Genomic DNA, 27,766 nt, shown 5'->3' with positions numbered 1-27,766 from the left:
ATTTGGGTGAAGACGGAGGTGGGTTCTGGACAGACCTACGCTGTCAGGGAGTGTTTACTTCGCCTACACTTCTGTTCCTCCCCGCCCTGGTGCTGCTCCAGGTCACATACTCGTCCTGAGCTGGCTTCAGCCTCTGCACAGAAGTCTCCCGGAGCCATGGCCTAGTACTCTTATGTGAAGTCTACCAAGCTTGTGCTCAAGGGAACCGAGGTGAAGAGCTGGGTCCTGCAGCTCCGGCGGGAGCCTCCTCAGTTCTTTTCGGACGCACTCCACCCCCGCGAATCCGGTGGGAGCCGTGGTGCGGAGAGCCGGCTTCGTGGCCTCCCAGGCTTCGCTCTGACCCTGTCTGGGCTGGACGGAGGCCGGACCACCCTTCCTGGCGCCTGTGCAGAGAGGGGAAGCCTCCTGCGCGGACGACCCTGGAAACAGGATAGACAGGCGGGTGACCCGTGGCCCCGTACCCACGAGTTTGGGTCCCCTGAGGCATCTCTCCAGGCCTCTGCCTGGTGGGTGTGCGTTAGTCTGATCTTGTAGTTCATTATAATAACTTCCTTTATTAGGGATTATTCTTTTCTCCATTGTCTCTTCCTGGAAAAATTATTGATTAATTTTTTTCTAAGCTAATATGTAGAGTGAAACCAGGATGAATCACACAGTGGTTGAGGTGTATATGGACTTTGATAGGGATATGGGCTGGAACCTGCACTCTGTCATTTACTAATTTTGTAATTTGTGGCAAATTGGTTAATATGTCTGAACTTCCATTTACTCATTAAGAGATCAAGTATCTGAACCTCCGTTTACACATTTATACTTTCAGACCATTTTTTATACCTTTAGAAGACTGTGAGGATTAAATGAGAGAACATACATGCAGTAAATAAATTGAGCCAAATGTGAGGAGGATGTTGTAGTGGTAATTTATTAGCTCTTTAGGAGAAAAATAACTGTGCATTCATATCCCTGCTTCTTTTTTAACTGGCAGATTTGCCTGAGGTTGACTGTACATACAAATATTGAGCATTTCCTCCTGGCCTCCGTGATAAACAGAAGTTTTGATATTGTTAGGCGAGATGGAAAGAAAGTATCAAGGAGTGAGCTGAAGCCACTGCCCTTGAGAACCCTCTCGAGGAGTCTGGCCTCATGAAGATGCCAGAATAAATGGCAGGTATATCCTGAATGAATGTGAGATTTTTACTCTGTGAATTTCCTATGAGGAGTGGTGAGTTATCTTCTGAAAACTTTATGATGAAAATGCAGACAAGAGTGTCTTAAGATTATCGTAATAATCATAATTAATGCTTATATAGCACTTTCAATGCGCCAAGAAATTGTTGTAGGCACTTTGCACATTAACTTTTTTCAAATCCCTCTTGGGTTTTTATTTTTTTATTGCGATGTAATTCATAATTATAAAATTCACCCTTTTGTACAGTCAGTGGTTTTTAGTATATATTCAAGAGGTTCACCACTGTCTAGTTGCTCAGCATTTTCGCCACCTCAGAAGGAAATCTCTTCCTACCCATTAAAGCTGTCACATCCCATCTTCCCCCTCTCCTAGTCCATGGCAACCACTAGTCTGCTATCTATGTGAAATTGCCTATTCTGAATATTTCCTAAGAAATCATGCAACATGTGGCCTTTTGTATCTGGCTTCTTTCACTTACAACATTCTTGAGGTCCATCATTGTTGTAGCACTTGTTCCTTTTTATGGCTGCGTAGTAGTCCATTGTATGGATGTAATATTTTGTTCATCCATTCATCAGTTGATGAACATTTAGATTGTTTCCCCTTTTTTACTATTGTGAGTAATGCTAGTGTGAATATTCTTATGTAAGATTTTTGTGGGTGTATGTTTTCATTTCCCTTGGGTATACATATTTAGGAGTAAAATTCCTGGGTCATATGGTAACTCTTTAACTTTTTGAGGAACCCCAAACTGTTTCCTGTAGATGCTGCACCATTTTACATTTCCACCAGCAATGTGTGAAGATACATATTACCTCTTAATCCTCACAATAGCCTTAAGAGTTAAGTTGTTATCCTAATTTTTTAAATGGGGAAACTGACTCACAGAGACATTCAGTATCTTTTCCAAAAATTGCAGAGCTAAGAAGTGACAGAATCAGGATTTAAAATCTGGAGGTGTGGCTCTACACTCTGCTTTGAACTTTAACATAATATATACAAAGCCTGAAGCAAATTCTCAGTACTGTATTTAAGAGGGCATAGCAATGTAAGTCTTCCTAAATCAATAATTTATAAATGAAACAACTTAAAAGACTTCCAAGTTTCAATCTTATGATACTTATTTATCACACAAATCAGTATACTTAAACTCATCTATATAAATTATGTCCTGTAGTAAGAAGAAAAAGAGCAAAGATAAGAAGAGAAAAAGAGAAGAAGATGAAGAAACCAGCTTGATATGTTGGTGAGTCAGTTTTCAGTGCTTTATTCTGAAAAAAGTTAACATTTCTTGAGATCTCATTGAAAATATTTTCCTAGTTAGAAATTTATGATGTATTCATATTTGTCTTAAAGTGCTTAAATATTACCTACAGTTGTAAATTCCATTTATTCTTTAGCACAGTAGATGCTACTGATGCCTTTACTTCATTATCAGAACAGAGCACAGGAAAGAAGAATTACAACTCTCTGACTTAGTAGGCTCCATTAGACTGCTTAATAGCCGGAGATTCTGATACATAATTTTAAAGGCTTAATGTAAATGTTATTCAACCAAATATATTTTACAAGCTATTTTCTTTGAACATGTGTACATTTTAGTTGTAGAAGTCAGTTGTCTCTTAAACGAAGTATCTTCACAGGAAAAATCATTATTTTGTGAACTCTGAAATGAATGAAAATTTTAAATACAATATCAGGGTAGCCTGTAAATGATACTAGAAATAAACTGACCCAAACACACTTAACCAGCCTGTTTTCCGTTTAGCTGTTTCCATACTTTTTTTTCTTTTAAAACTTGGCAAGTTGCATTTTGAATCTTCATAAATTATGGTAGCTTAAAAAATATATAAAATATGGAATGGTGTAAAGCTAATGTTCTGGAAGAATCATTGCTTTTGAAATGGCAAATCAACAATTCTAAAATTAGGGTAAATATCTAGGGTAGATATGTAGATGTGGAATTGCTGTGTCAAAGGATAGGTGAATGTTTAACTATATAAGAAACTGTCAAAAATTTTCTAAAGTGGTTGTGCTATTTTATCCTCCCACCAAGAATGAATTAGTTCTCCAGTTACATCCCTGCCAAGAGTTGATGGTGTTATCAGTCTTTTCCCCCAGTCTGAGTTTTACCTTTTCAGTTTCTTAATGGTGGTTTTTGGATGGACAGCTTTTTTTTTTTTTTTTTTTTTTTTCCGAGATGGAGTCTCGCTCTGTCACCCAGGCTGGAGGGCAGTGGCGCGATCTTGGTTCACTGCAAGGTCCACCTCCCAGGTTCATGCCATTCTCCTGCCTTAGCCTCCCAAGTAGCTGGGACTACAGGCATCTGCCACCATGCCCAGCTAATTTTTTTTGTTTTTAGTAGTGACAGGGTTTCACCATGTTAGCCAGGATGGTCAGAAGCTTTTAATTTTTATAAAGCTTAGTTTATTTTTTTTCTTTTATGGTTACTGCCTTATCTCTTTGATCTAAGAGATCTTTGCTTATCCCAAAGTCAGGAAAATATTCTACATTGTCTTTTAGAGGAATCATAGTTTTAGTTTTTACGTTAAATCTGTCATTAATCTCAAATTAATTTTTGGCATGGTGTGAGTTTGGTTTCAAGATTTACTTTTTTTTTTTTAACATCTTGATAGTCATTTGTGCCAGCACCACTGGTGTTTCCTTTTTCCATTAATCCAGTTTCTTATCTTCATAAAAAGTCAATTAACTTTCCATGTATTGGTCTATTTCTGGACTCTGTTCTATCGATTGTCTGTTTTTCTTTTGGTATATTTCTCTTGATTGCTATAATTTCATGAAGTCTTGAGATCAGGTAGTGTGTGTCCTCCAACTTTGTACTTACTATTAGTTTATTAATTTCTACAGTGAAGCCTGTTGGATTTTCTCGGAGAATTGTATTGAGACCAGATCATTTGGGGGAGAATCAACATCTTAATATTGGGCCTCAATATTTCATAATTTTCAATGTAGCAGTCTTGCATGCCTGTTTAAAAATTTATTCTTAAGTATTTTATAATTTTACATTACTGTCAGTAGAACTTTTGGATTTGACTTTCCAGTTGTTTGCTGTCAGTATGTAGATATACAATTGATTTTTGTATAGTGACTTTATAGTCTGATAAGTCTGTTTCACTTATTACTTCTAGTGGTTTGTTTATATAGAAAACTAAGAAATTTGCAATTATGTTTCCTGTGACTATTGTTTTACTTCTTTCTTTCTAATCTTTATGTCTTGTCTTGCTTTTTATTGGTTTATTATACTGTCCAGGACTTCCATAGTGTTGAACAGAAGTCACGAGAATGGGCATAATTGCATTGTTTCCAAGCTTAGGCAGAAAGCTTTCAGTAGTCCACCATATGGTATGATGTCTGTACGATCTACAGAGAAAACCTTTATCAAAATGAGGACATTCCTTTTAAGCTTTGTTTCTTGGCAGTTTTTATCATAACGATGTTTAATGCTGTCAAATGTCTCTTTCTGTATCTGTTGAGATGATTATACAACTTTCTTCATTCTGCCAATGAATTACATTGGTTTCATTTTCAACTTTTAAACTAACTTTACATCCCTGAGATAAACCCCACTTGGTTGTGGTGCATTGTCCTTTGGAATATTGCTAGAGTTGATTTCTAGGTTTTTTTTTTTTTTAAGATTTGTATATTGGTGTTGATGGAGATATTGGATTTTTGTATCCTTTTCTTGTAATGTCTTTATTTGATTTTGGTGTCAAGGTGATATTGGGTGTCATAAAATTAGAAGGGAAGTGCTGTCTCCTTCCCTGTTTTTGGAAATAGCTGTGTAAGATAGGTATGATTTCTTCTTTACATGTTGGATAGGATTTACCAGTGAAGTAATCTGAACCTAGAGGGTTTTGTTTGGTTTGGTTTTAGTTTTTTGTGGGAGAATTAAGATTTTTTAGGAGATATTTTCAGATTTTTCTGTTGTCAGTTTTGGTAATTTGTGTCTTTTAGGAAAATTTCATTTCATCCAAGTTGTTGGATTTATTGGCATAAAATTTTTCAGAATATTCCTTTAATATCCTTTTAATGTCTGTAGAATCTAATCTGTATTGCAGTCTCTTCATATTGGTAATTTTTGTTTTTTCTATTTTTTCCTGGATCAGTCAGTCTAGCTGGAGGTTTATCAATTCTTTATAAGATCACTTATTTTAGATAATTAATGATCTTTTAGTACAGGGGTATTCACTCTTTTAGCTTCCCTGGGCCACAATGGAAGGAGAAGAATTGTCTTGGGTCACACATAGAATGCATTAACGATAAGCTGATGAGCCAAAAAAAAAAAAGGAAAAAAAAATCTCATAATGTTTCAAGAAAGTTTACGAATTTGTGTTGGGCTGCATTCAAACCTGGCCTGGGCCACATGCAGCCCTCAGGTTGGACAAGCCTGTTTCAGTATTACTTATTTTCTCTTTTTTTCATTTTTTATTTCATTTATTTTCAGTCTTTTTTTTCCCTCCCTTTAACTTATTTTCAGTTTACTTTGCTCTTGTTTTATTGCTTCTTAAGAAGAGAGTTAGATCTCTTCATTCCACGTTAGTTTTAGTTATAGTCAACACATTTTGCTTTCATTTTCATTCCATTCAAAATATCATCTAGTTTTCCTTGTGATTTTTCTTTTCATGGACACTAGAGTTATTTAAAAGTGTATTGTTTTTTAATTTCTACTACATAGAGATATTATAGGTATGTTATTGTTGCTGATTTCTAATTCATTTATAGTATAGTTGGAGAACATACATTCTTAGTGAATTTCCATGTACACTTGAAAAGAATGTGTGTTCTGTAGATGTTGGTTCAGGGTTTTTTTTTTTTTTTTTTTTTTCGGAGATGAAGTTGCACTCTGTTGCCCAGCAGGCTGGAGTGCAGTGGAACGATCTCGGCTCACTGCAGCCTCCGCCTCCCAGGTTCAAGTGATTCTCCTGCCTCAGCCTCTGGAGGAGCTGGAATTACCGGCACCTGCCACCATGCCTGGCTAATTTTTTTTATATTTTTAATAGAGGCGGGGTTTCACCACGTTGGCCAAGCTGGTCTCAAACTCCTGACCTCAGGCGATCCGCCCGCCTCGGCCTCCCACAGTGCTGGGATTACGGGCGTGAGCCATGGCGCCCAGCGGTTCAGTGTTCTTTAGATATCAGTTAGATCAACTGGTGGAGCTTGTGACTATGCACATCTTCTGTGTCCTTACTGATTTTTTACTCATCCTACAATGTATTGAGAGTTATGTTAAAATCTCCAGCTCTAATTCTAGATCTGTCTACTTGAGCAGTTTTTGCTTAAAGTATTTTGAAGCTGTCATGTGTACACATTTAGGATTGTTAAGTCTTCCTTATAAATTCAGTCTTTCATTTTCATAACATTTTAACCTTTATTTCTGTTAAATGTCTTGATGCCTAGTTATATTATTTGACCACACTTTTGCTCCTGTCAAGCCTGGGCCTTTGTTAGTTTGTGATTATTTATTAGGTTTTTGCCTGTAGACTTAGACAGTGACTCTTATTCTAGGAAAGGTTCAACCTCATGGGCCTCAGCCACATGTTCTATGTATACTTGATGAGTTCTCTCCACTCTGCTATGTCCCAAATTTGTGTGCTCTCTGGCATCTCCAGTCAGCCCTCAGAAGTGCCAGCCACTCTGCAGAGGCCTTGTGGAGCCTGCCTGCTGTATGCACTCCCCCCAGCCCTTGTCCCCAGACCTGCAGAGAACTTTTGCATTCTCTTTTGAGGCCTCACCTCTATGTAGTTCCCTCTTCTCCAGTACCTTATTCTATAAACTCCAAACATGTTAGCACTACAAGACTCTCAGCTTAGTGACAGTGACATTGCCTCATTTTTGGAGGTCTCTACCTCTCTCTGTGTGGTCAAGAAACTGCCATTGGGCAGAAAACAGAAGTGTGTGTGAGATTTGCCTCCTGTGTTTTCCTGTTTTCAAATATCACAGTCCTCTTCTGCCTGTGTTCCAATCCCCGAAAACAGTTTTCTCAAATATTCTATCCAGCTTCAGTTTTCTCGTTGGTCATGGTGGGAGGGCAAATCCATCTTGGCTGGAAGAGGAAGTCCTTCTGTGTCTTTTTCTCCTTGTCCCTCTACCTTCTTTTGCATTGTGGATTTTCTAAACTTGCCATATAAGTAAGCATGTGCCTATTTGTGAAGGGAAAGAAAAAACACTTTTAATTTTTTAAAGCTGTTCTGTTGGTTCCTCACAAGGATCTGAAGGGATTGGTAAATAGGATGAAAGAAATTCTGTCTTTCACATGGAGAATACCGTGTGTGACATTAATAAAAATGAGCATGCCTGTAAGCAAAGAGTTTCACTGAGCTCTGCTAGATTCAGAAGCAATTGAACTTACAACATCGTAGTTTGCAAAACACAGATTTGATTTACCCAGGAACTAAAGCTGAGTAAGCTATGGGTTAATAGAAGGTCTGTGAAGGGTACTTAGACTACAGTAAGATTGGGGAAGAAAATTCCATTTCCAAATCTAAGATATATCATTCCTTTGTGCCAAGCACATAATGAAGGTAGAGGTTTAAGGGGGCCCTTAGCACAGAAGCACTGGGTTAGTCAGAAGGTGAGGTGAGCTGTCACACAGCCTTGATGCTAGAATGAGGGTGCCCTGGTAGTATCTTATCAGCCATGACACTGGTGCATCGGGCCAGATTTTTTTTTTTTGTTTTTCTTTGAGACAGGCTGTTGCTTTGTTGCTCAGGCTGGAGTGCAGTGACATGATCATGGCTCAGTGCACCCTCGACCTCTTAGGCTCAAGCAATCCTCTCACCTCGAACTCCCGAGTAGCTGGGACCACAGTCTTCTACCACCATGCCCAGCTAATTTCTTAATTTTTTTGTAGAGATGGGGGTCTCCTTTTGTTGCCTAGGCTGATTTTGAACTCCTGGGCTTAAGTGATTCTCCTGCTTCCACCTCTCAAAGTGCTGGATTACAGGCATGCCAGACATATGGAAACATTCCCAAATATCTGAAAATATGTGAAAAGCTTTGTTATGCATTGTGAGACAATACATCGGGAATATTTCACAATCTGCCTAAGGTTTAAAAGGAAATAACTTTAAGCATGTGTCTAAATAGCAAGTAATGTTTTAGAGCGGATTCTCTTAAATTCAGCTTGGGCGTCTGCAGCATATACACAGCTTGAGCTGTAACCTGACATAGAGACAGGCAACTTCAGTGCCCACTGTTCTTAGGATCCACTGCTTTTTCACAGCTAAAACCCCTGAGTGGCACTGTTAAGTATTATGTTATGTTACTTTAGTCGTTAAACGTATAAGCATACCTCCAAAGGTTGAATGTAGGCCACTTGCAGAAAGTAGGCAGAATGCTCACATTTAATTCTTGATAATACTGTGTTTAGCTTTCTTATTCTTTGAAATCTCATTGAGAAGAAATACTGGCATCTGCTCAAAGTAATTTCTTTTTCTGTTGACAATATTATAAGTAATGTTATTTTATCATTTCCCTACTTGGACAGAGTGTGAAAATTTTGAGGAGCTTGTCTGCCAGAAATTTCTTCTTCATTTGCAAAACATTAATGAGATATTATATTTAAATGATTTTATTTAAGTGTACTTGGTGAAAGTGGCATAGAACATACAAAATAAAACTAATTTAAAATTATTAACTATTACATTTATAAGAAAGACTTGCTAAACATAACATTGTTGATAATGATTCTGAATAAAGCATTATTTCTTTTCCTGAAAACAATTGTAGCTATAACTCAATCATCTAAATTGCTTATTAGTTTTATTTCTTTTTAATTGTCTATTTTGATTAATTTTCTTTTTCTCCATTGGTTTCATGTGTGTGTGGAGGTAAAATATACAGAATATAGAATTTGCCAGTTTTTCTATTTTTACGTGTACACTTCAGTGGCATTTAAATACATGCACCATTTTACCTTCCCACCAGCATTGCACAGGGTTTCAGTTCCTCCACATCCTGCCCAACATTTGTTTTTCTGGTTTTCTTGGTTTCTGTTTTTTATTTGTTTTGATAATAGCATTCTAATGGGTGTGAAGTGGTATTGCATTATGGTTTTGATTTATATTTCCCAAGTGACTAGTGATGTTGAGCGTCTTTTTGAGTGCTTATTGGCCATTTGTATATCATCTTTGGAGCAATGTCCATATATATCCTTTGCCCAGTTTTGAATTGTGGCATTTGTCTTTTTGGAGTTCTCTATATAGTCTGGATATTAATTCCTTATAATGTATGTAGTTTACACATATTTTCTCCATTCTCTGGGTTGCCTTTTATTCTGTTGGCAGTGGTTCTTGATGCACAAAAGTTTTTAATTCTGATGAAGTCCAGTTTGTCTGTGTTTTCTTTTGTTGCCTGTGCCTTTGATGTTCTATATAAGAAATCATTGCCAAATTCATTGTCGTGAAGCTTTTCCCATTTTCTTCTAAAAGTTTTGTAACTTTAGCTCTTACATTTAGGTCTTTGGTCGATTTTAAGTTACTTTTTGTATTTGGTGTTAGATAAGGGTCCAACTTCATTTTAGCTAAAATTTTATGTATTTTAAAATTGATTATGAAAAGCATGAAATGTTTAGTTGAATAGAAAATTTTGTGCAGTGGAATTAACTGAATCTTTAAAAACTTTTTATTATGGAAATATCCAAATTAATTCATACATAGAAGAATATAATGAGTCCCCCATGTGCCCAGGCCCCAGCATTAATTATCAATATTTTGCCAATTTTGTTTCATTTACATACACACCCCCACAAACATTTTTTCCTAGAAAATTTTAAGTAAAATCACAGATATTACATCATTTTATCCATAAGTACATAAATGTACATTGCTTTTTTTTTATTTTTTTTATTATTATACTTTAAGTTTTAGGGTACATGTGCACATTGTGCAGGTTAGTTACATATGTATACATGTGACATGCTGGTGTGCTGCACCCACTAACTCGTCATCTAGCATTAGGTATATCTCCCAATGCTATCCCTCCCCCCTCCCCCGACCCCACAACAGTCCCCAGAGTGTGATGTTCCCCTTCCTGTGTCCATGTGTTCTCATTGTTCAATTCCCAACTCTGAGTGAGAATATGCGGTGTTTGGTTTTTTGTTCTTGTGATAGTTTACTGAGAATGATGATTTCCAATTTCATCCATGTCCCTACAAAGGACATGAACTCATCATTTTTTATGGCTGCATAGTATTCCATGGTGTATATGTGCCACATTTTCTTAATCCAGTCTATCGTTGTTGGACATTTGGGTTGGTTCCAAGTCTTTGCTATTGTGAATAATGCCGCAATAAACATACGTGTTCATGTGTCTTTATAGCAGCATGATTTATAGTCCTTTGGGTATATACCCAGTAATGGGATGGCTGGGTCAAATGGTATTTCTAGTTCTAGATCCCTGAGGAATAGCCACACTGACTTCCACAATGGTTGAACTAGTTTACAGTCCCACCAACAGTGTAAAAATGTTCCTATTTCTCCGCATCCTCTCCAGCACCTGTTGTTTTCTGACTTTTTAATGATTTCCATTCTAACTGGTGTGAGATGGTATCTCATTGTGGTTTTGATTTGCATTTCTCTGATGGCCAGTGATGGTGGGCATTTTTTCATGTGTTTTTTGGCTGCATAAATGTCTTCTTTTGAGAAGTGTCTGTTCATGTCATTCGCCCACTTTTTGATGGGGTTGTTTGATTTTTCTTGTAAATTTGTTTGAGTTCTTTGTAGATTCTGGATATTAGCCCTTTGTCAGATGAGTAGGTTGCAAAAATTTTCTCCCATTTTATAGGTTGCTTGTTCACTCTGATGGTAGTTTCTTTTGCTGTGCAGAAGCTCTTTAGTTTAATTAGATCCCATTTGTCAATTTTGGCTTTTGTTGCCATTGCTTTTGGTGTTTTAGACAGGAAGTCCTTGCCCATGCCTATGTCCTGAATGGTAATGCCTAGGTTTTCTTCTAGGGTTTTTATGGTGTTAGGTCTAACGTTTAAGTCTTTAATCCATCTTGAATTGATTTTTGTATAAGGTGTAAGGAAGGGATCCAGTTTCAGCTTTCTATATATGGCTAGCCAGTTTTCCCAGCACCATTTATTAAATAGGGAATCCTTTCCCCATTGCTTGTTTTTCTCAGGTTTGTCAAAGATCAGATAGTTGTAGATATGTGGCGTTATTTCTGACGGTTCTGTTCTGTTCCATTGATCTATATCTCTGTTTCGGTACCAGTACCATGCTGTTTTGGTTACTGTAGCCTTGTAGTATAGTTTGAAGTCAGGTAGTGTGATGCCTCCAGCTTTGTTCTTTTGGCTTAGGATTGACTTGGTGATGCGGGCTCTCTTCTGGTTCCATATGAACTTTAAAGTAGTTTTTTCCAATTCTGTGAAGAAAGGCATTGGTAGCTTGATGGGGATGGCATTGAATCTGTAAATTACCTTGGACAGTATGGCCATTTTCACGATATTGATTCTTCCTACCCATGAGCATGGAATGTTCTTCCATTTGCTTGTATCCTCTTTTATTTCCTTGAGCAGCGGTTTGTAGTTCTCCTTGAAGAGGTCCTTCACATCCCTTGTAAGTTGGATTCCTAGGTATTTTATTCTCTTTGAAGCAATTGTGAATGGGAGTTCACTCATGATTTGGCTCTCTGTTTGTCTGTTGTTGGTGTATAAGAATGCTTGTGATTTTTGTACATTGATTTTGTATCCTGAGACTTTGCTGGAGTTGCTTATCAGCTTAAGGAGATTTTGGGCTGAGACAATGGGGTTTTCTAGATATACAATCATGTCGTCTGCAAACAGGGACAATTTGACTTCCTCTTTTCCTAATTGAATACCCTTTATTTCCTTCCCCTGACTAATTGCCCTGGCCAGAACTTCCAACACTATGTTGCATAGGAGTGGTGAGAGAGGGCATCCCTGTCTTGTGCCAGTTTTCAAAGGGAATGCTTTCAGTTTTTGCCCATTCAGTATGATATTGGCTGTGGGTTTGTCATAGATAGCTCTTATTATTTTGAAATATGTCCCATCAATACCTAATTTATTGAGAGTTTTTAGGATGAAGTGTTGTTGAATTTTGTCCAAGGCCTTTTCTGCATCTATTGAGATAATCATGTGGTTTTTGTCTTTGGCTCTGTTTATATGCTGGATTACATTTATTGATTTGCATATATTGAACCAGCCTTGCATCCCAGGGATGAAGCCCACTTGATCATGGTGGATAAGCTTTTTGATGTGCTGCTGGATTCGGTTTGCCAGTATTTTATTGAGGATTTTTGCATCAATGTTCATCAAGGCTATTGGTCTAAAATTCTCTTTTTTGGTTGTGTCTCTGCTGGCTTTGGTATCAGGAAGATGCTGGCCTCATAAAATGAGTTAGGGAGGATTCCCTCTTTTTCTATTGATTGGAATAGTTTCAGAAGGAATGGTACCAGTTCCTCCTTGTACCTCTGGTAGAATTCCACTGTGAATCCATCTGTTCCTGGACTCTTTTTGGTTGGTAATCTATTGATTATTGCCACAATTTCAGCTCCTGTTATTGGTCTATTCAGAGATTCTACTTCTTCCTGGTTTAGTCTTGGGAGACTGTATGTGTCAAGGAATTTATCCATTTCTTCTAGATTTTCTAGTTGGTTTTCATAGAGGTGTTTATAGTATTCGCTGATGGTAGTTTGTTTTTCTGTGGGATCTGTGGTGATATCCCCTTTATCATTTTTATTGCATCTATTTGATTCTTCTCTCTTTTTTTCTTTATTAGTGTTGCTAACAGTCTATCAATTTTGTTGATCCTTTCAAAAAACCAGCTCCTGGATTCATTAATTTTTTGAAGGGTTTTTTGTGTCTCTATTTCCTTCAGTTCTGCTCTGATTTTAGTTATTTCTTGCCTTCTGCTAGCTTTTGAATGTGTTTGCTCTTGCTTTTCTAGTTCTTTTAATTGTGATGTTAGGGTGTCAATTTTGGATCTTTCCTCCTTTCTCTTGTGGGCATTTAGTGCTATAAATTTCCCTCTACACACTGCTTTGAATGTGTCCCAGAGATTCTGGTATGTTGTGTCTTTGTTCTCATTGTTTTCAAAGAACATCTTTGTTTCTGCCTTCATTTCGTTATATACCCAGTAGTCATTCAGGAGCAGGTTGTTCAGTTTCCATGTAGTTGAGTGGTTTTGAGTGAGATTCTTAATCCTGAGTTCTAGTTTGATTGCACTGTAGTCTGAGAGATAGTTTGTTATAATTTCTGTTCTTTTACATTTGCTGAGGAGAGCTTTACTTCCAAGTATGTGGTCAATTTTGGAATAGGTGTGGTGTGGTGCTGAAAAAAATGTATATTCTCTTGATTTGGGGTGGAGAGTTCTGTAGATGTCTATTAGGTCCACTTGGTGCAGAGCTGAGTTCAATTCCTGGGTATCCTTGTTGACTTTCTGTCTCATTGATCTGTCTAATATTGACAGTGTGGTGTTAAAGTCTCCCATTATTAATGTGTGGGAGTCCTAAGTCTCTTTGTAGGTCACTCAGGACTTGCTTTATGAATTTTGGTGCTCCTGTATTGGGTGCATATATATTTAGGATAATGTATAAAAGTAAAGAACAAAACAGGTGATGAGAGAAAGACATACCACGTCTTTCTCTCACAAGAAGAAGTGAGCTCTTCTTGTTGAATTGATCCCTTTACCATTATGTAATGACCTTCTTTGTCTCTTTTGATCTTTGTTGGTTTAAAGTCTGTTTTATCAGAGACTAGGATTGCAACCCCTGCCTTTTTTTGTTTTCCATTTGCTTGGTAGATCTTCCTCCATCCTTTTATTTTGAACCTATGTGTGTGTCTGCACATGAGATGGGTTTCCTGAATACAGCACACTGATGGGTCTTGACTCTTTATCCAATTTACCAGTCTGTGTCTTTTAATTGGAGCATTTAGTCCATTTACATTTAAAGTTAATAGTGTTATGTGTGAATTTGATCCTGTATTATGATGTTAGCTGGTGATTTTGCTCATTAGTTGATGCTGTTTCTTCCTAGTCTCGATGGTCTTTACATTTTGGCATGATTTTGCAGTGGCTGGTACTGGTTGTTCCTTTCCATGTTTAGCGCTTCCTTCAGAAGCTCTTTTAGGGCAGGCCTGGTGGTGACAAAATCTCTCAGCATTTGCTTGTCTGTAAAGTATTGTATTTCTCCTTCACTTATGAAGCTTAGTTTGGCTGAATATGAAATTCTGGATTGAAAATTCCTTTCTTTAAGAATGTTGAATATTGGCCCCCACTCTCTTCTGGCTTGTAAGGTTTCTGCTTGAGAGATCCGCTGTTAGTCTGATGGGCTTCCCTTTGAGGGTAACCCGACCTTTCTCTCTGGCTGCCCTTAACATTTTTTCCTTCATTTCAACTTTGGTGAATCTGACAATTATGTGTCTTGGAGTTGGTCTTCTCGAGGAGTATCTTTGTGGCGTTCTCTGTATTTCCTGAATCTGAATGTTGGCCTGCCTTGCTAGATTGGGGAAATTCTTCTGGATAATATGCTGCAGAGTGTTTTCCAACTTGGTTCCATTCTCCCCATCACTTTCAGGTACACCAATCAGACGTAGATTTGGTCTTTTCACATAGTCCCATATTTCTTGGAGGCTTTGCTCATTTCTTTTTATTCTTTTTTCTCTAAACTTTCATTCTCACTTCATTTCATTCATTTCATCTTCCATTGCTGATAGCCTTTCTTCCAGTTGATTGCATCGGCTCCTGAGGCTTCTGCATTCTTCACGTAGTTCTCGAGCCTTGGTTTTCAGCTCCATCAGCTCCTTTAAGCACTTCTCTATATTGGTTATTCTAACTGGGAGGCACTCTCCAGCAGGGGCACACTGACACCTCACACTGCAGGATACTCCAACAGACCTGCAGCTGAGGGTCCTGTCTGTTAGAAGGAAAACTAACAAACAGAAAAGACATCCACACCAAAAACCCATCTGTACATCACCATCATCAAAGACCAAAAGTAGATAAAACCGCAAAGATGGGGAAAAAACAGAACAGAAAAACTGGAAACTCTAAAAATCAGAGCACCTCTCCTCCTCCAAAGGAACGCAGCTGCTCACCAGCAACGGAACAAAGCTGGACGGAGAATGACTTTGAAGAGCTGAGAGAAGAAGGCTTCAGATGATCAAATTACTCTGAGCTACGGGAGGACATTCAAACCAAAGGCAAAGAAGTTGAAAACTTTGAAAAAAATAAATATACATTTCTTAACGTGGTATGTCTTTCTCTCATCTCCTGTTTTGTTCTTTACTTTTATACATTATACTATGTCATTATCAGACCTTGTAAAATTAACAAGAATTCCTTAATATGTCATATCCAGTTAATGATTGACTCATTTCTACTCTAGTTAAAGTACAATTTAGGAGGAGGTTTGAGGATGTTTTTTAACATTAAGATATAAACTTTTATAACAACTGCTAAAATAATTATTGCTAGAGTCTAACATTTATATTGGCAAATTGGACATTAGTATACATAGACATAGATTCTGCTCATTTTGCTTTCAATCTAAAATCGTAGTTAAGATTACTGGCTGGGCGCGGTGGCTCACACCTGTAATCCCAGCACTTTGGGAGGCAGAGGCGGGTGGATCACGAGGTCAGGAGTTCAAGACCAGCCTGGCCAATGTGGTGAAACCCCGTCTCTACTAAAAATACAAAAAAAATTATTTGGGCATGGTGGCAGGCTCTTGTAACCCCAGCTACTCGGGAAGCTGAGGCAGAGAATTGTTTGAACCCAGGAGGTGGAGTTTGCAGTGAGCCAAGATCGCATCACTGCATTTCAGCCTGGGTGACTGAGCGAGACTCCATCTCAAAAAAAAAAAAATTACTATGCTAGAAAGTCTTCCTGTAGAGGCATTTTTAAGAAGCATTATGATAGGCATTGCCTCTGGAAAGCAGGCATGAATAGATGGCTGGGGTCTATCATGAGAGAGACTGTTCTCCATATATCACTTTGTACCTTCACATGTTGCCTTTTGGTTTGTTTTGGTCTTTTTTTGAGACAGGACCTTGCTCTGTCACTCAGGCTAGAGTGCTGTGGCATGATCATAGCTCACTATAACCTTGAACTCCTGGGCTCAAGTGATCCTCTTTCACAGCTCCCCGAGTAGTTGGGATTACAGGCATGCACCCTCATGCCTGGCTGTATGTTGCTATTGTGTATTTTAAAACCTAATCCTGACTGTGCTGGTAGTCGCATGAATCTGTGCATATATATGCAAACAAGTACATGTAAAACTGGTGAAATCTGAATAAGCTTCATGGATTATATCAATGTCAGTTTCCTGATTCTAACAATGTATGATACTTATGCAAGATGTTATCACTGAGACAAAGCGAGTAAAGGATATGTGAGATCTTCCTAGTATTTCTTATGACTGCAAAATAAAGTTTTTAAAACTAAGTTATAATAACAAAGAACTCTGTGTCAAAACTAAAATATAAAGTTGTAATATCAATTTTATTTTTTAGGAATCTGGTGAACAGTAACAAACTTTGGTGAAATTTCAGGAACCCTAGCCATTGAAATGGATGAGGGAACCTATATACATGCACTCGACAATGGTCTTTTTACCCTGGGAGCTCCACACAAAGAAGGTTTGTGTCTGGAACGGAAGATCCTGCCACAAGTGTAGATTTTAGGACATTCATTCACTTAGGCCAAACTCTAACTAGTCTCAAACATTTTCCAAAGGAATGGAACCATTGCATTTGACTCTTCCATTTTTTTAAATTCCTTAATATTTACCAGCCATTGGCAAGTCCCTCTTTCTAATATAAGCATTTGAAAACATTCCGTATAGTTCCAGAAGAGTATCTTTGGAAATCAAAACAATATGAATAATTAAAATAGTAAGTGGAGAGAAAAAAGAAAACCTATTTGAGTCAAACATATTTGAATTTCTTTTTTATTCAGACCTATTACCAAAACTAACTTGGGTGCATTCAACAGTTTGAAGTTTCCACATTTTCTTTAGCCCATTAGAGGAAGCACTAATGAGATATGAAGTAACTAGAAGATAAAAAGCAGTATCATTTCATCAGCAAGGCCATCCATTGAATAAATGAAAGCATTTAGCTTTTTTAAATAAGTGCTTATTTATGACTGTATTTTAAAACATAAAGAGAAGCTATCTTGAAAGTTATTAAATAAGCATTATATCACCCTGTCTCACTCAGTGTATAAAATTAGCACTGTAGTTAAAAGAAGGTAAAATAGATCTTGATTCCAAAGATACAGTATTACAGTGACATCAGTATATCTGAATATTCTTACATTTAATTGCAGAAGAAAATAGCCACATTTTTTAAAGCAAAATAATGTCTTTATATTTATAGCATATGTCAAATTTATTTTCAAATATTTTTTCTCCAATAGTTGATGAGGGCCCTAGTCCTCCAGAGCAGTTTATGGCTGTCAAATTATCTGATTCCAGGTGAACTTATATTGTAATATAATTAGTAACCAGTTATTTTAAAAATTTAATTGTATTCATTAAAAATTTTAGTTTCTGTCTTAAGCCCATGGTAATTTTGATATAAAAAACAAAATAGCTTTTTTGAAAAGTAGATTTTGTGATCTACTTTTAGTGGATTTCCTATCAATATATAATGCTAGGCTGGAAAAAAGATATGTAAGTTAAAAGATGAAGATTAATAATTTCACACACCAAATAAGATAGATTAAAAAATAAATAGTACAAAACCTGGTTCACTGTTGCTATGATATTTAAACTCACTGTTTGGAAGTCTAAAGACAAACAGGAAGACTAAAAAAAAAGGAATATTGTTGAAACCAGCAGAGAATGTTACAGCATCATAACGACCAAAGGAATATTTTTACTCACTATTTTTACAGTCATTTTATAAAGTAACCTTTTTTATTCTCCCCTTGTGCAGAAGTATAGAATGATTCTTCGGGTAAAAGATACTGAAAGTGAATTTACATATTTTAGTAATTGGTTACATCAACATGATAATGATTTCTGTTATATAATCATTAACTTATAAAGGAGTAAAAGTCAATTCTCGCATCTGTGGAGATTCTTGGTAAGGTAAAAGAAATCATAATTTTAAAAAATCACATTAAGATGATTATTTCTATACTTTCTTTGAAAGTCTGATAAGTAGGGTGAAAAAGAATAAAAGCAGAGGAAGAAAAATTCAATAGTTTTAAACTGCTTTACAATTATAAACAAAAAAGGATTATAAAGAAAACTGACAAATGAGAAAATATTTGCAACAATCTTAATAGGCAGTGAGTTCTTACTCTTCATATGTATCTTGTATAGAATTCATAGCACTGAAGACCCCAGTAGAAAAATTGCGAACAATCAGATCTGAATAGAAAAATGGACAAGGAACATTACCAGATAATCTAAAAACTAAAAAGGAAAGGAAAAGAAAAACAATTGTTATTCTAGTTAACTACTAAAATGCAAATTAATAGGATACTGTTTTTTTCATATCAGGTTTTCAAGTATTTTTTTAGAGTCATAACGTTTAAAAAAAAATCCATGATACAAAACATGCTCTGTTAATTTAAGAATGTAAATGGAAGCAGCATTTTCTGGAAAACAGTTTGATGACATAAAGTTTTAGTAATTTATTATTGAAGTTTTTAACTAAAGAGGTATAATTGAAGCGTGATGAATTTTGAAAATATTTATTATTTAATATATAAGGTACAATGTTTCTATTAAAAAAGCAAAATATAAAACTAAATTTAAAACTGTGCTGTCCAATATGGCAACAACTAGTCACATGTAGCTTTTTTTTTTTTTTTTTTGAAGGCACAGAGTCTCAATCTGTCACCCAGGCCGGAGGGCAGTGGTGTGATCATAGCTCACTATAACCTCAAATTTCTGGGCTCAAGCACTCCTCCTGCGTCAGCCTCCCAAGTAGCTGGTATTACATGTGCACACCACCATGCCCAGCTAACTTTTTAAATTTTTTGTAAAGATGGGGTCTCACTATGTTGTCCAGGCTGATCTTGAACTTCTTGCCTCAAGCAATTCTCCCATTGGCTTCCCAAAGCACAGAGATTACAGGAGTGAGTCACCACTCAGCCACATGCATCTTTTGAACACTTGGAATATGTCCAGTCTGGAATTTTAGATATGTACACACCCACACACATACACATGTCCTGTTTTGATGACCTATAATTAATTTTCTCTCAGTTTTTAACTTTTATCTATCTTATTAATGTACAGAATCACCCTGAAACCGGGCTGTGGAAAATATCTTGGTATAAATTCAGATGAACTTGTTGTTGGCGTTCAGATGCAATTGGACCAAGAGAACAATGGGAACCAGTCTTTCAAAATATGAATGCTGTTATTGTTTATAAAAACTTCCTGTCAGTTTAACACAAAGTCTGTAACAGTCAATAATAATATATTTAAAAAGAAAAAGTAGGATGCAATAGTATAATACATTAAATTGGAATAAATCAGTAAGAACACAGAGCCTTAAAGAGATCTCAAAATATAGTGCAACAAAAATAGCTTTAGTACTTTTGCCCACAATTATTTCTGTATACCCTTAGTGCCCGATATGGATCTCATTTCCATTGAAGAACCAGTCAATTTTAGGTCACAGAGTAGGAAAACAGAATCGTTCCTAAGTATCTTCTTTGTAGCAGAAATCATGGATGCTTTCAGAAACTTTAGCGACTGTAAGCGAACAGTGGAGCTAGCTAAGACCAAGTTGTGACAATTTGCTAATAAAATATAAATAATAATAGTTCATTGAAGTAAATTATCTCTAAAAGACTCAGTTCATAAGCTTAAAATAGTGTATGAAAAGATAGTTTTAATATAAGAAGAAAAAACATAATATACTAATTCTTAATTTTAGTAAGTAGACAGTTGTAGTGTATGGATGTTTTGTTAAATCTTTGTTGATACAGTATACATAATTTCCTTTTTCTGTTTGTGTGAGAAGTAAAGATTGAACAAAAATATGTGAGTGCTAAACTGTCTTTAAAAAGTAGATAACTATATCAAAAACAGTAAGGACCATTGGGCACCATGCAGAACAAGCAAATAGAAGATAAGCTCAGCCTTTGAGTAGCAGCTTTGGTTGTATACAATAATGAACTGAAAATAGGAACTCAGCAGTGTTTTCTAAGATGACAGATTAAACAAACATCCCACCAGAAAGAGGTAATCACTTAGACTAATTTCCTCATCCCCTAGGATAAAATCTTAAGTCAGTGACTTGAAAAATGTTTTGACCCAATCCATTGAGAAATGCATTTTTACATTGCAGCCCAGCACACACATATGTATAACTGAAGCAAGAGTTGTACTTAACAATACTTACTTATCCGTGTGTTATGCGTCTTGATATTTCTTATTCTCTTTTACCCCTTCCTCTGTGTGTCTGTGTGTATTCTTCCCCCCCCCACCCAATACCGTTCAGGAAACACTACATTGATTTCATTACCTGCTAATGTGTTGCAACCCCTTTGAGATGATCCTACTAGTTATGATGAGATGCTTCTAATAAAAGTTACACCAGTAGAAAATGCCAATATTTCATAAGACCAGGATGATGACTTAGATAGTACTAATAATACAACACTTTAGGAAACTTCATTTCATTTTATTTTTAGGAAGGACACTAAGTTTCAAAAATTTAAATTTAAATGAAAGAGGGTCTTAAAACTCTATTGCAAAAAGGACTCAGCTGAATAATCTGTGGCACAGGTTTAAATTGCCTTGGACCACACCGCCATGTTCCAGGGCTCACCGGGAGCCATCAAGATGAGAGACCACCCAGCCCTTGTGACTTGACTAAGAAATTAAATCCATGTTATCAGCACGTTTTTAACTGGATGTGATATAAGGTTAACATATATTGTAATCATTGTATTTATAAATATTTTATCTAAATGTTATTGTATTCCTAGTTTTCCAAAAGAATCAACCAAATACAAGTTATAAATAAACATTATATTTGTTACAGGAGTTAAGCTAACCAAATTTATAACCCAGATTTAGATACACAAGAAAATCAGTTTTTAAAGTTTTGTTTAATAGAAAGCAGTGTAATACATCAAACATTAAACAACTAAAAATGTATATGAATATTTATTTTCACACACAAAAGTCCCTCAGACATTGATTCTTAAATTCAAAACACCAAAGGCATTGTATATGCCTTTTCATGTTTTCTAATTGTGAAGAAAATAAATTTTACTTAAAATGCTAATATTTGAATAAAGTATGCATTCATAATTATGTTCTTGTCTTTAAAGCTAATTTTTCAAACAGAACTAAATCAGTTTTATCTTCAGTAGATCTTTTAGAAAGGAAGTAATCCTACCTCATCTAATTAGAATTTAGTCCTACTAGGAAGATACACTACAAATATTTATTGTGGCAATCTTTGAATAGCAAAATGAAAGGTGATTTTGGTTTCCTTTTCTATATGTTCTTGTATTATATTTTTCAGGTTTTTCTCTAAGTTCTTTTCTGTGATTTTTAAATCAGGGAGGAAAAATTCATTCAGTCTAAACACTTAATGTTTCTTCTACAAGAAGTATCCTCATGGCTATTTTGTTATTTTGTTTCACTTAGGGGAAAATGGCTTTGTTGGCCTCAAATAGATGCTTTATTAGATACAATGAAGCAGGGGACATAGAAGCAAAAAGTAAAACAGCAGAAGAAGAAATGATCAAGGTAATGATGACATTTTATACAGATGACTGCATTCACACATGCGATGTGACTGTATCTCTTTAAAATGTTAAGTCATCATTTACTGTCACTTTAAAGATTTACTTAATAGCTTTTTATAGTGTGGTGTTTCAAATAGACTCATTTTTAATTACAAATCCCATAGTTGATGGCTTGTTTATACAATGTGGTAGAGAAATCAGTGCATCTAGGAGCTACCTTGTCATTATCTCCATGGATTAGTATATTTTTCTGGTAGTTCCACATGCTCTTTTTATGCTTTCATTTTCTTGTTTTCTTGCTTGTATTTTAAAATCTAATTTTTAAAATAGATAACATGTACACGTGGTCCAACATTTTTAAATAAAAGCATAGGAAGTTGAAGACATATACCTGCCATGCATCTTACTCACCTGTGTCCCAGTTCCTGTTCCTCTTTCCCTTTGTTTTGTTTTTTTATAGCCTCCTAAAATTTCTTTATAAACATATGAATATATTTATAATTTTCAACTGTCTTACACTAAAGGCAGCCTCCTCTATTGTCTTCTCGACTTTGATTTTTTTTTTCCTTAAAATTGTGTCTTGGAGAGTTTTCTACTATTAGTTTGAATGTAGAAAGTTTTCTCTTTTTCTTGCTTCTCCTCTCTTTCTCTCTCTCTCTTTTTTAACAGCCACATAATATTCCATTTTAGGGATGTACCTTTATTTATTTAGTCTTTTATAGATGGAAATTTAGGCTGTTTCCAGTCTTTTGCTCTTACAAACAGTGCTGCAGTACATAACATTGAATATACATCAATTTGTAGATGTGTGGGTGGACCTGAAGATAAATTTCAAGAAGCAGAATTACCAGGTCGGGGTATACGCGTTTGTATTTACATAATGCTTGAGCTTCTGTGATGATAATCACTCTATGAAACATAAAAAATCATAGCAGAACTTCTGGGGCCTTAGCCCTTACATTTTAAAAATATTTTTAGTAATAGTACCCGTCTTCTTTGCATTAGGAGAAACATGAATCACATAAAACATGATTTTTATTTTATTTTTAAAATTTGTGTGCGTCACTAAGCTGGAAATAAAAGTTCCTTATTCCAGGCTAAATTCCCTCATCCGTAGTCAGACGCGTTATCCATTGCGCCAGTGGTCTGTGCCCTCCCTAATCCTACTCTTTGTTTTACATCATTGTAAAAGTTACACAGACATCTTCATATCAAGGTGAAATTCTAAATAATACTGTTAATATAACCTAGATAAATCAGGTAGTTAACTGGAATTTGATGAAAACATTTAAGGCTTAATTTTTTAGACTCACAAAAGCCACTGATCTTTAATGATAAACATATATCAGGATGTGTCTAAAGAATAACTCCCCCCTTGACACATGGTTTTTCTGTGTCTTGGCATTCCATCGCAGTACTGAGCATCCTGAACCTTGCTTTGTTTGTCTCTTTTGGGAATCACAGGTTGCATCCAGTCTGACCCAGATTTGTTCTGTCAGACATTGTGGGGGCCAGAGTGGAAGGCTCTAAGAGAGGGGGCAAATGCCTTTTCTAAAATGCCCTTCGTTCTTATAATCAGAGCATAAAAATTTATGTTACATTTTTCTCTACTACCAGTGTAATTTAAAAGCATCTATCAATTCTCTGTATGTGCTTCATGTTAGATTTCCAGTCATGTGTTTGATTTTCTTTTTAGAATAGTCTTGATTTCAGATAATTTCAAATCTAAAGCTCAAACAATTTCAATCTAAAATGTAGGTATTTTCTTACAGTTAGAGAAGTGAAGTGTTATATTTTTTCATTGCATGCATCCGGCACATGCGTTGTAGTCTTGAATTTCCATAATGCTCCTGTGAGGTGGATGTGAGCTCAGCCTTACAGACAGTAAGACAGCCTCCGACCCTCCTTACATCCTCGTGGTTTTTGTCAGTCAGTTCATGGAAATCACAGTGATTTCAAGGTGTGGTAAGACAGGATGTGTACCCAGGCCCAGCTGACTCCAGAGGCCAGTCTCAGTATTTCATAGCACATTGCTTCTCAGGAAACAGGTCATTGAGGAAATGCAGATGGGTTTGTGACTTACATTTAATTTAATTTATTTATATTTTATTGTATCATGTTTAAATTATTTTTCATCTGGATATCATCACAAAAGTGTTATTGAAGGCAACAATTGCAAATATATGTGCAGTGCTTTGCACTTATACAAAGATACAAAGATACTTACACAAAGATTGCATTTTTCACTATTTAAAGCAATTTTCAGATGAAATACAAAGTTTTCTGGGTCTCTTTGGTTAGTCAAGTACTTGGAAGTTCTGAACAGTGATTATTTAGGACTCTTTTTGTACCATTTAATTACAGGCTCTCCTAATCTCTGTCAGCCCTTCACCTTTATGACCTTGCCTTATCTATCAGAACACAGATCCCTCTTACTAAAGGTAGCATTGTGCTACAGGCCTTAGCAGGGAATGTTTTCAGGTCTGGGACCCCTCTAATCAAAACTGTCACAAAGATGTCATTGGCACAAACATGTTATTTGTCATCACTTTCTAAGCAGCCCTGGAACTAGACTCTGGCCACAGAGATCCCTTAGGAGACATGAGTCCTTACCATTGCCAATTGCCTGTTCTGTGGGTGATCCTAATTGTTGAATGCAGATCAATTAACTTATGACATGTGATAGTAAACATCTATCCAAACTTAGGAGGATATAAGAAGCTAGTAAAAGAGGTGGGTTCCAATTAATTAAAAAGAAGTTGTGTAATGTTAAAAGTTTTAATACTTTGGTAATAGTCTGTGCAATCTAAAATAGCTATTAAGCTTTCAATTTGATCAAATGAACACTTGTCTACTAGGGATAATTTGATCCTAGTGTATTGACTTGGAGGACAAAATTAAATTAGTTAATGATTGCTTTACTGCCTAACAGGATCTGATGTGTAAAATGTTTCTGAAATAATTTTGTCTGTAGTGTTTCTGACACAAGGGCTGCGGAGGAAGCATGTGATAGCACTTACTCATATAGATTATATATATGAAGTAAAAACACATAGCCAGAACCTGTCTTTTTCTGAATATAGTTGCTCAGTTAATTTTTTCTTCTGCATAAGAAATCATCTCGAATGTTCTTATGTGATACGTAAAGTGGGGAAGGTGGAAGATAAACATATAACCCATTGGATTCTCTTTTCCAATATCTAGATTAGATCCTGTGCTGAAAGAGAAACCAAGAAAAAAGATGACATTCCAGAAGAAGACAAAGGAAATGTAAAACAATGTGAAATCAATTATGTGTATGTATGCTTTTCCTTTTAGACCTACAGATTTGACAGTGAAGTGCTTCTCAAAGTGCTTTCAAAATAAATTACCTAATTAGCTGGGGATGGTGAGGCATGCCTGTAGGCCCAGCTACTCAGGAGGCTGAGACAGGAGGATTGTTTGAGCCCAGGAGTTCAAGGCTGCAGTGAGCTCTGATCACCACTGCATTCCAGCCTGGGTGACAGAGCAAGACCCTGTCTGAAAAAATGAAAACTGATGGACAAGAAGAGGCAACACAACGTAGCCTCTAGGACAGAGCACTGAGCTAAATGCTTTTCTTTTCTTGAGGGTTCATTTTTCCTAATCATCCTAACAGCTCCCAAAGCTAGTCACTCAGGTTAGTCAATCTCTCTATTCATTCATAGAATGGGCGTGATGCCAGTCAAAGGCTGTGCTATGACCAGGACACAGGGGACTCCAGCCAGCATGCCCTAATAGAAGTGGGGCCTTCTGCTACCCAGTCAATGAGTGGCCCTCCTCTTGAGAGGTCACGAAGGTTATCTTTGTTGTTCAAAAGCTCCAGCTTATTTAAAAAAATGTAATTAGACTTTTTTTTTTCTCCCCCAAGACGGAGTCTCGCTCTGTCCCCCAGACTGGAGTGCAGTGCCACGATCTCGGCTCATCGCAACCTCTGCCTCCCAGGTTCATGTGATTCTCCTGCCTCAGCCTCCTCAGTAGCTGGGACTACAGGCACGCGCCACTACGCTCGGCTAATTTTTGTATTTTTAGTAGAGACGGGGTTTCACCATGTTGGCCAGGCTGTTCTCGAACTCCTGACCTCGAGTGATCTGCCTGCCTTGACCTCCCAAAGTGCTGGGATTGCAGGCATGAGCCACTGCGCCTGGCCTACAATTAGACTTTTTTAATAAGTGAAAAAGAAATTAACAGTATTTATAAATTTAATAGTAAATATGTATAATCAGAGTTTGAGGTATTTTTCAATGAAGGCATTTTCTTTGCAGAAAGAAATTTCAGAGCTTCCAAGACCACAAACTTAAAATAAGTAAAGAAGCAGTAAAATTCTTAAAAAGATGCAGAAAGATGGATTTTTGCATGAGATGCTTCTGGACAGGTAGCTATTTATTTACTTATTTCCACTATTTTCAGTAGCCAATAGAAATGGCATATAGAAAACCTACATTCTCTTAAATTACTGTAGTTTTCACATTTTTGCCTTTATTTCTAATTTATGAATGTGGCAATATTACCTAGAGAGGACATCATGAGTTTGGGAAAAGACTGTCAAGAAAGAATATCTAAAAATTATAACCGATTCTAAGCATATACTTTAAGAAATTCAGGTTTGACTGTATCTACTTCATAAATTTATCATTATCTTTTTATAACTATTAGAACCAGAGTTAGAAAGAAGCAGTTTGACTAATATAAAAATTATGTGGATTCTATTAGAGTAGTTCAGGTTCCTTAAAATAAGCATAGATGAACTAAAAAACTAAGTATAAAAGCTAAACAAGTGAAATTGAAGCAGTTTTATTGTAAGATTTGGAAGAGTGCAGGATGTTTATCATAGCACATTATTAATATTTATTACTATTCCTATGTACATAAGTGATGTCCTAGATTTACAACATAGAAAAACAGGTAGAGACATTTAGCTGTGAGTCTACAAGTATAAATCAATTAAGTGCCAGATTTTGATAATCACCAGCCGCTCATTCAAGTCCTATGTTGGAAAGTTACTCTTACCCTTTTTTTACATTACTTGATAAAGGCAATGTTTAATTACATATTTCCTGTTAACCAGCTGGTAGAGTTCATACCTAAAGTCAGTAAATAACGTTAAGAATTTTTTCCAGCTGAGCAAATGAGTATGTATCTAGTTGTAAGAAATCAAGAAGAGGATATAAAATATAATCAGGATGTGGAGTCTAAAATGGAATACGCTTTATGTCCTGTAACTTTTTTCACTTGTAATAATACAGCATTCTCACCCTGTTAAATGGAAATTTAGAGCACCCTTAAATTCCAGAATAATTAAAATTGCTATTTGGATTGAAAAAGCCCTTAGGCAACATTTATTGAATATTAGGAAATAACTTTTATAAGATTAGAATCCATTTTTTATAGAAACCAAATTTAAAAGTATACATATTTTAATATAAGTGTTGTGGTAATACACTAACCAAAATTGAACACACAGTTTTAAAGCTTTTTATATTTAGTAGCAATTGAATATATATGACATGTTTTACATAGATTAATTTTACTATTTTTCTTTATTTAAACAAGAGAACCAAATTGAAAGCCGACAGATACTGCAAATGACTGGGATTTTTGTTTCTGCCTTATCTTTTTGTGTTTTTTTCTGAATAAAATATTCAGAGGAAATGCTTTTACGGAGTTCTTGAGTTGTTGTGAACTTATTGTTTAGCTAGTAGCTAGTTTAACCAGGATTAAACAAGTTTAATCAGGATTCTTCACGGATGTACTTTTTAGCTAACTACAGTTTTTCACATGGAAATGAAACTTACAGTAAACACTTAATGTACCACAGAATTTTTTTCTGGATTTCCGGTGCTGA

At 36.1% G+C, this 27,766-nt stretch overlaps 1 pseudogene across 1 annotated transcript, besides 1 other annotated feature; it reads left to right on the top strand.

Moving 5' to 3' along the window:
• Window positions 1-27,585, top strand: FRG1JP (FSHD region gene 1 family member J, pseudogene; annotated as a pseudogene). The gene is made up of 9 exons (NR_033907.2): window positions 1-506; window positions 986-1,168; window positions 2,367-2,435; window positions 15,254-15,424; window positions 16,686-16,811; window positions 21,803-21,904; window positions 25,108-25,199; window positions 26,187-26,296; window positions 27,475-27,585. The product of NR_033907.2 is annotated as an FSHD region gene 1 family member J, pseudogene (transcript).
• Window positions 6,264-6,464: a silencer, noted in NCBI's record as "peak7254 fragment used in MPRA reporter construct". NCBI's record gives its function as "represses an SCP1 promoter by STARR-seq MPRAs in K562 erythroleukemia cells {active_cell/tissue: K562}" and the evidence as "EXISTENCE:reporter gene assay evidence [ECO:0000049][PMID:32103011]".
• Window positions 27,586-27,766: the final 181 nt, after the last annotated feature.

Source organism: Homo sapiens, chromosome 9, assembly GCF_000001405.40.
Source record: "Homo sapiens chromosome 9, GRCh38.p14 Primary Assembly".
Lineage (NCBI taxonomy): Eukaryota > Metazoa > Chordata > Mammalia > Primates > Hominidae > Homo > Homo sapiens.
This window is presented reverse-complemented; position numbering and strand designations above follow the sequence as displayed.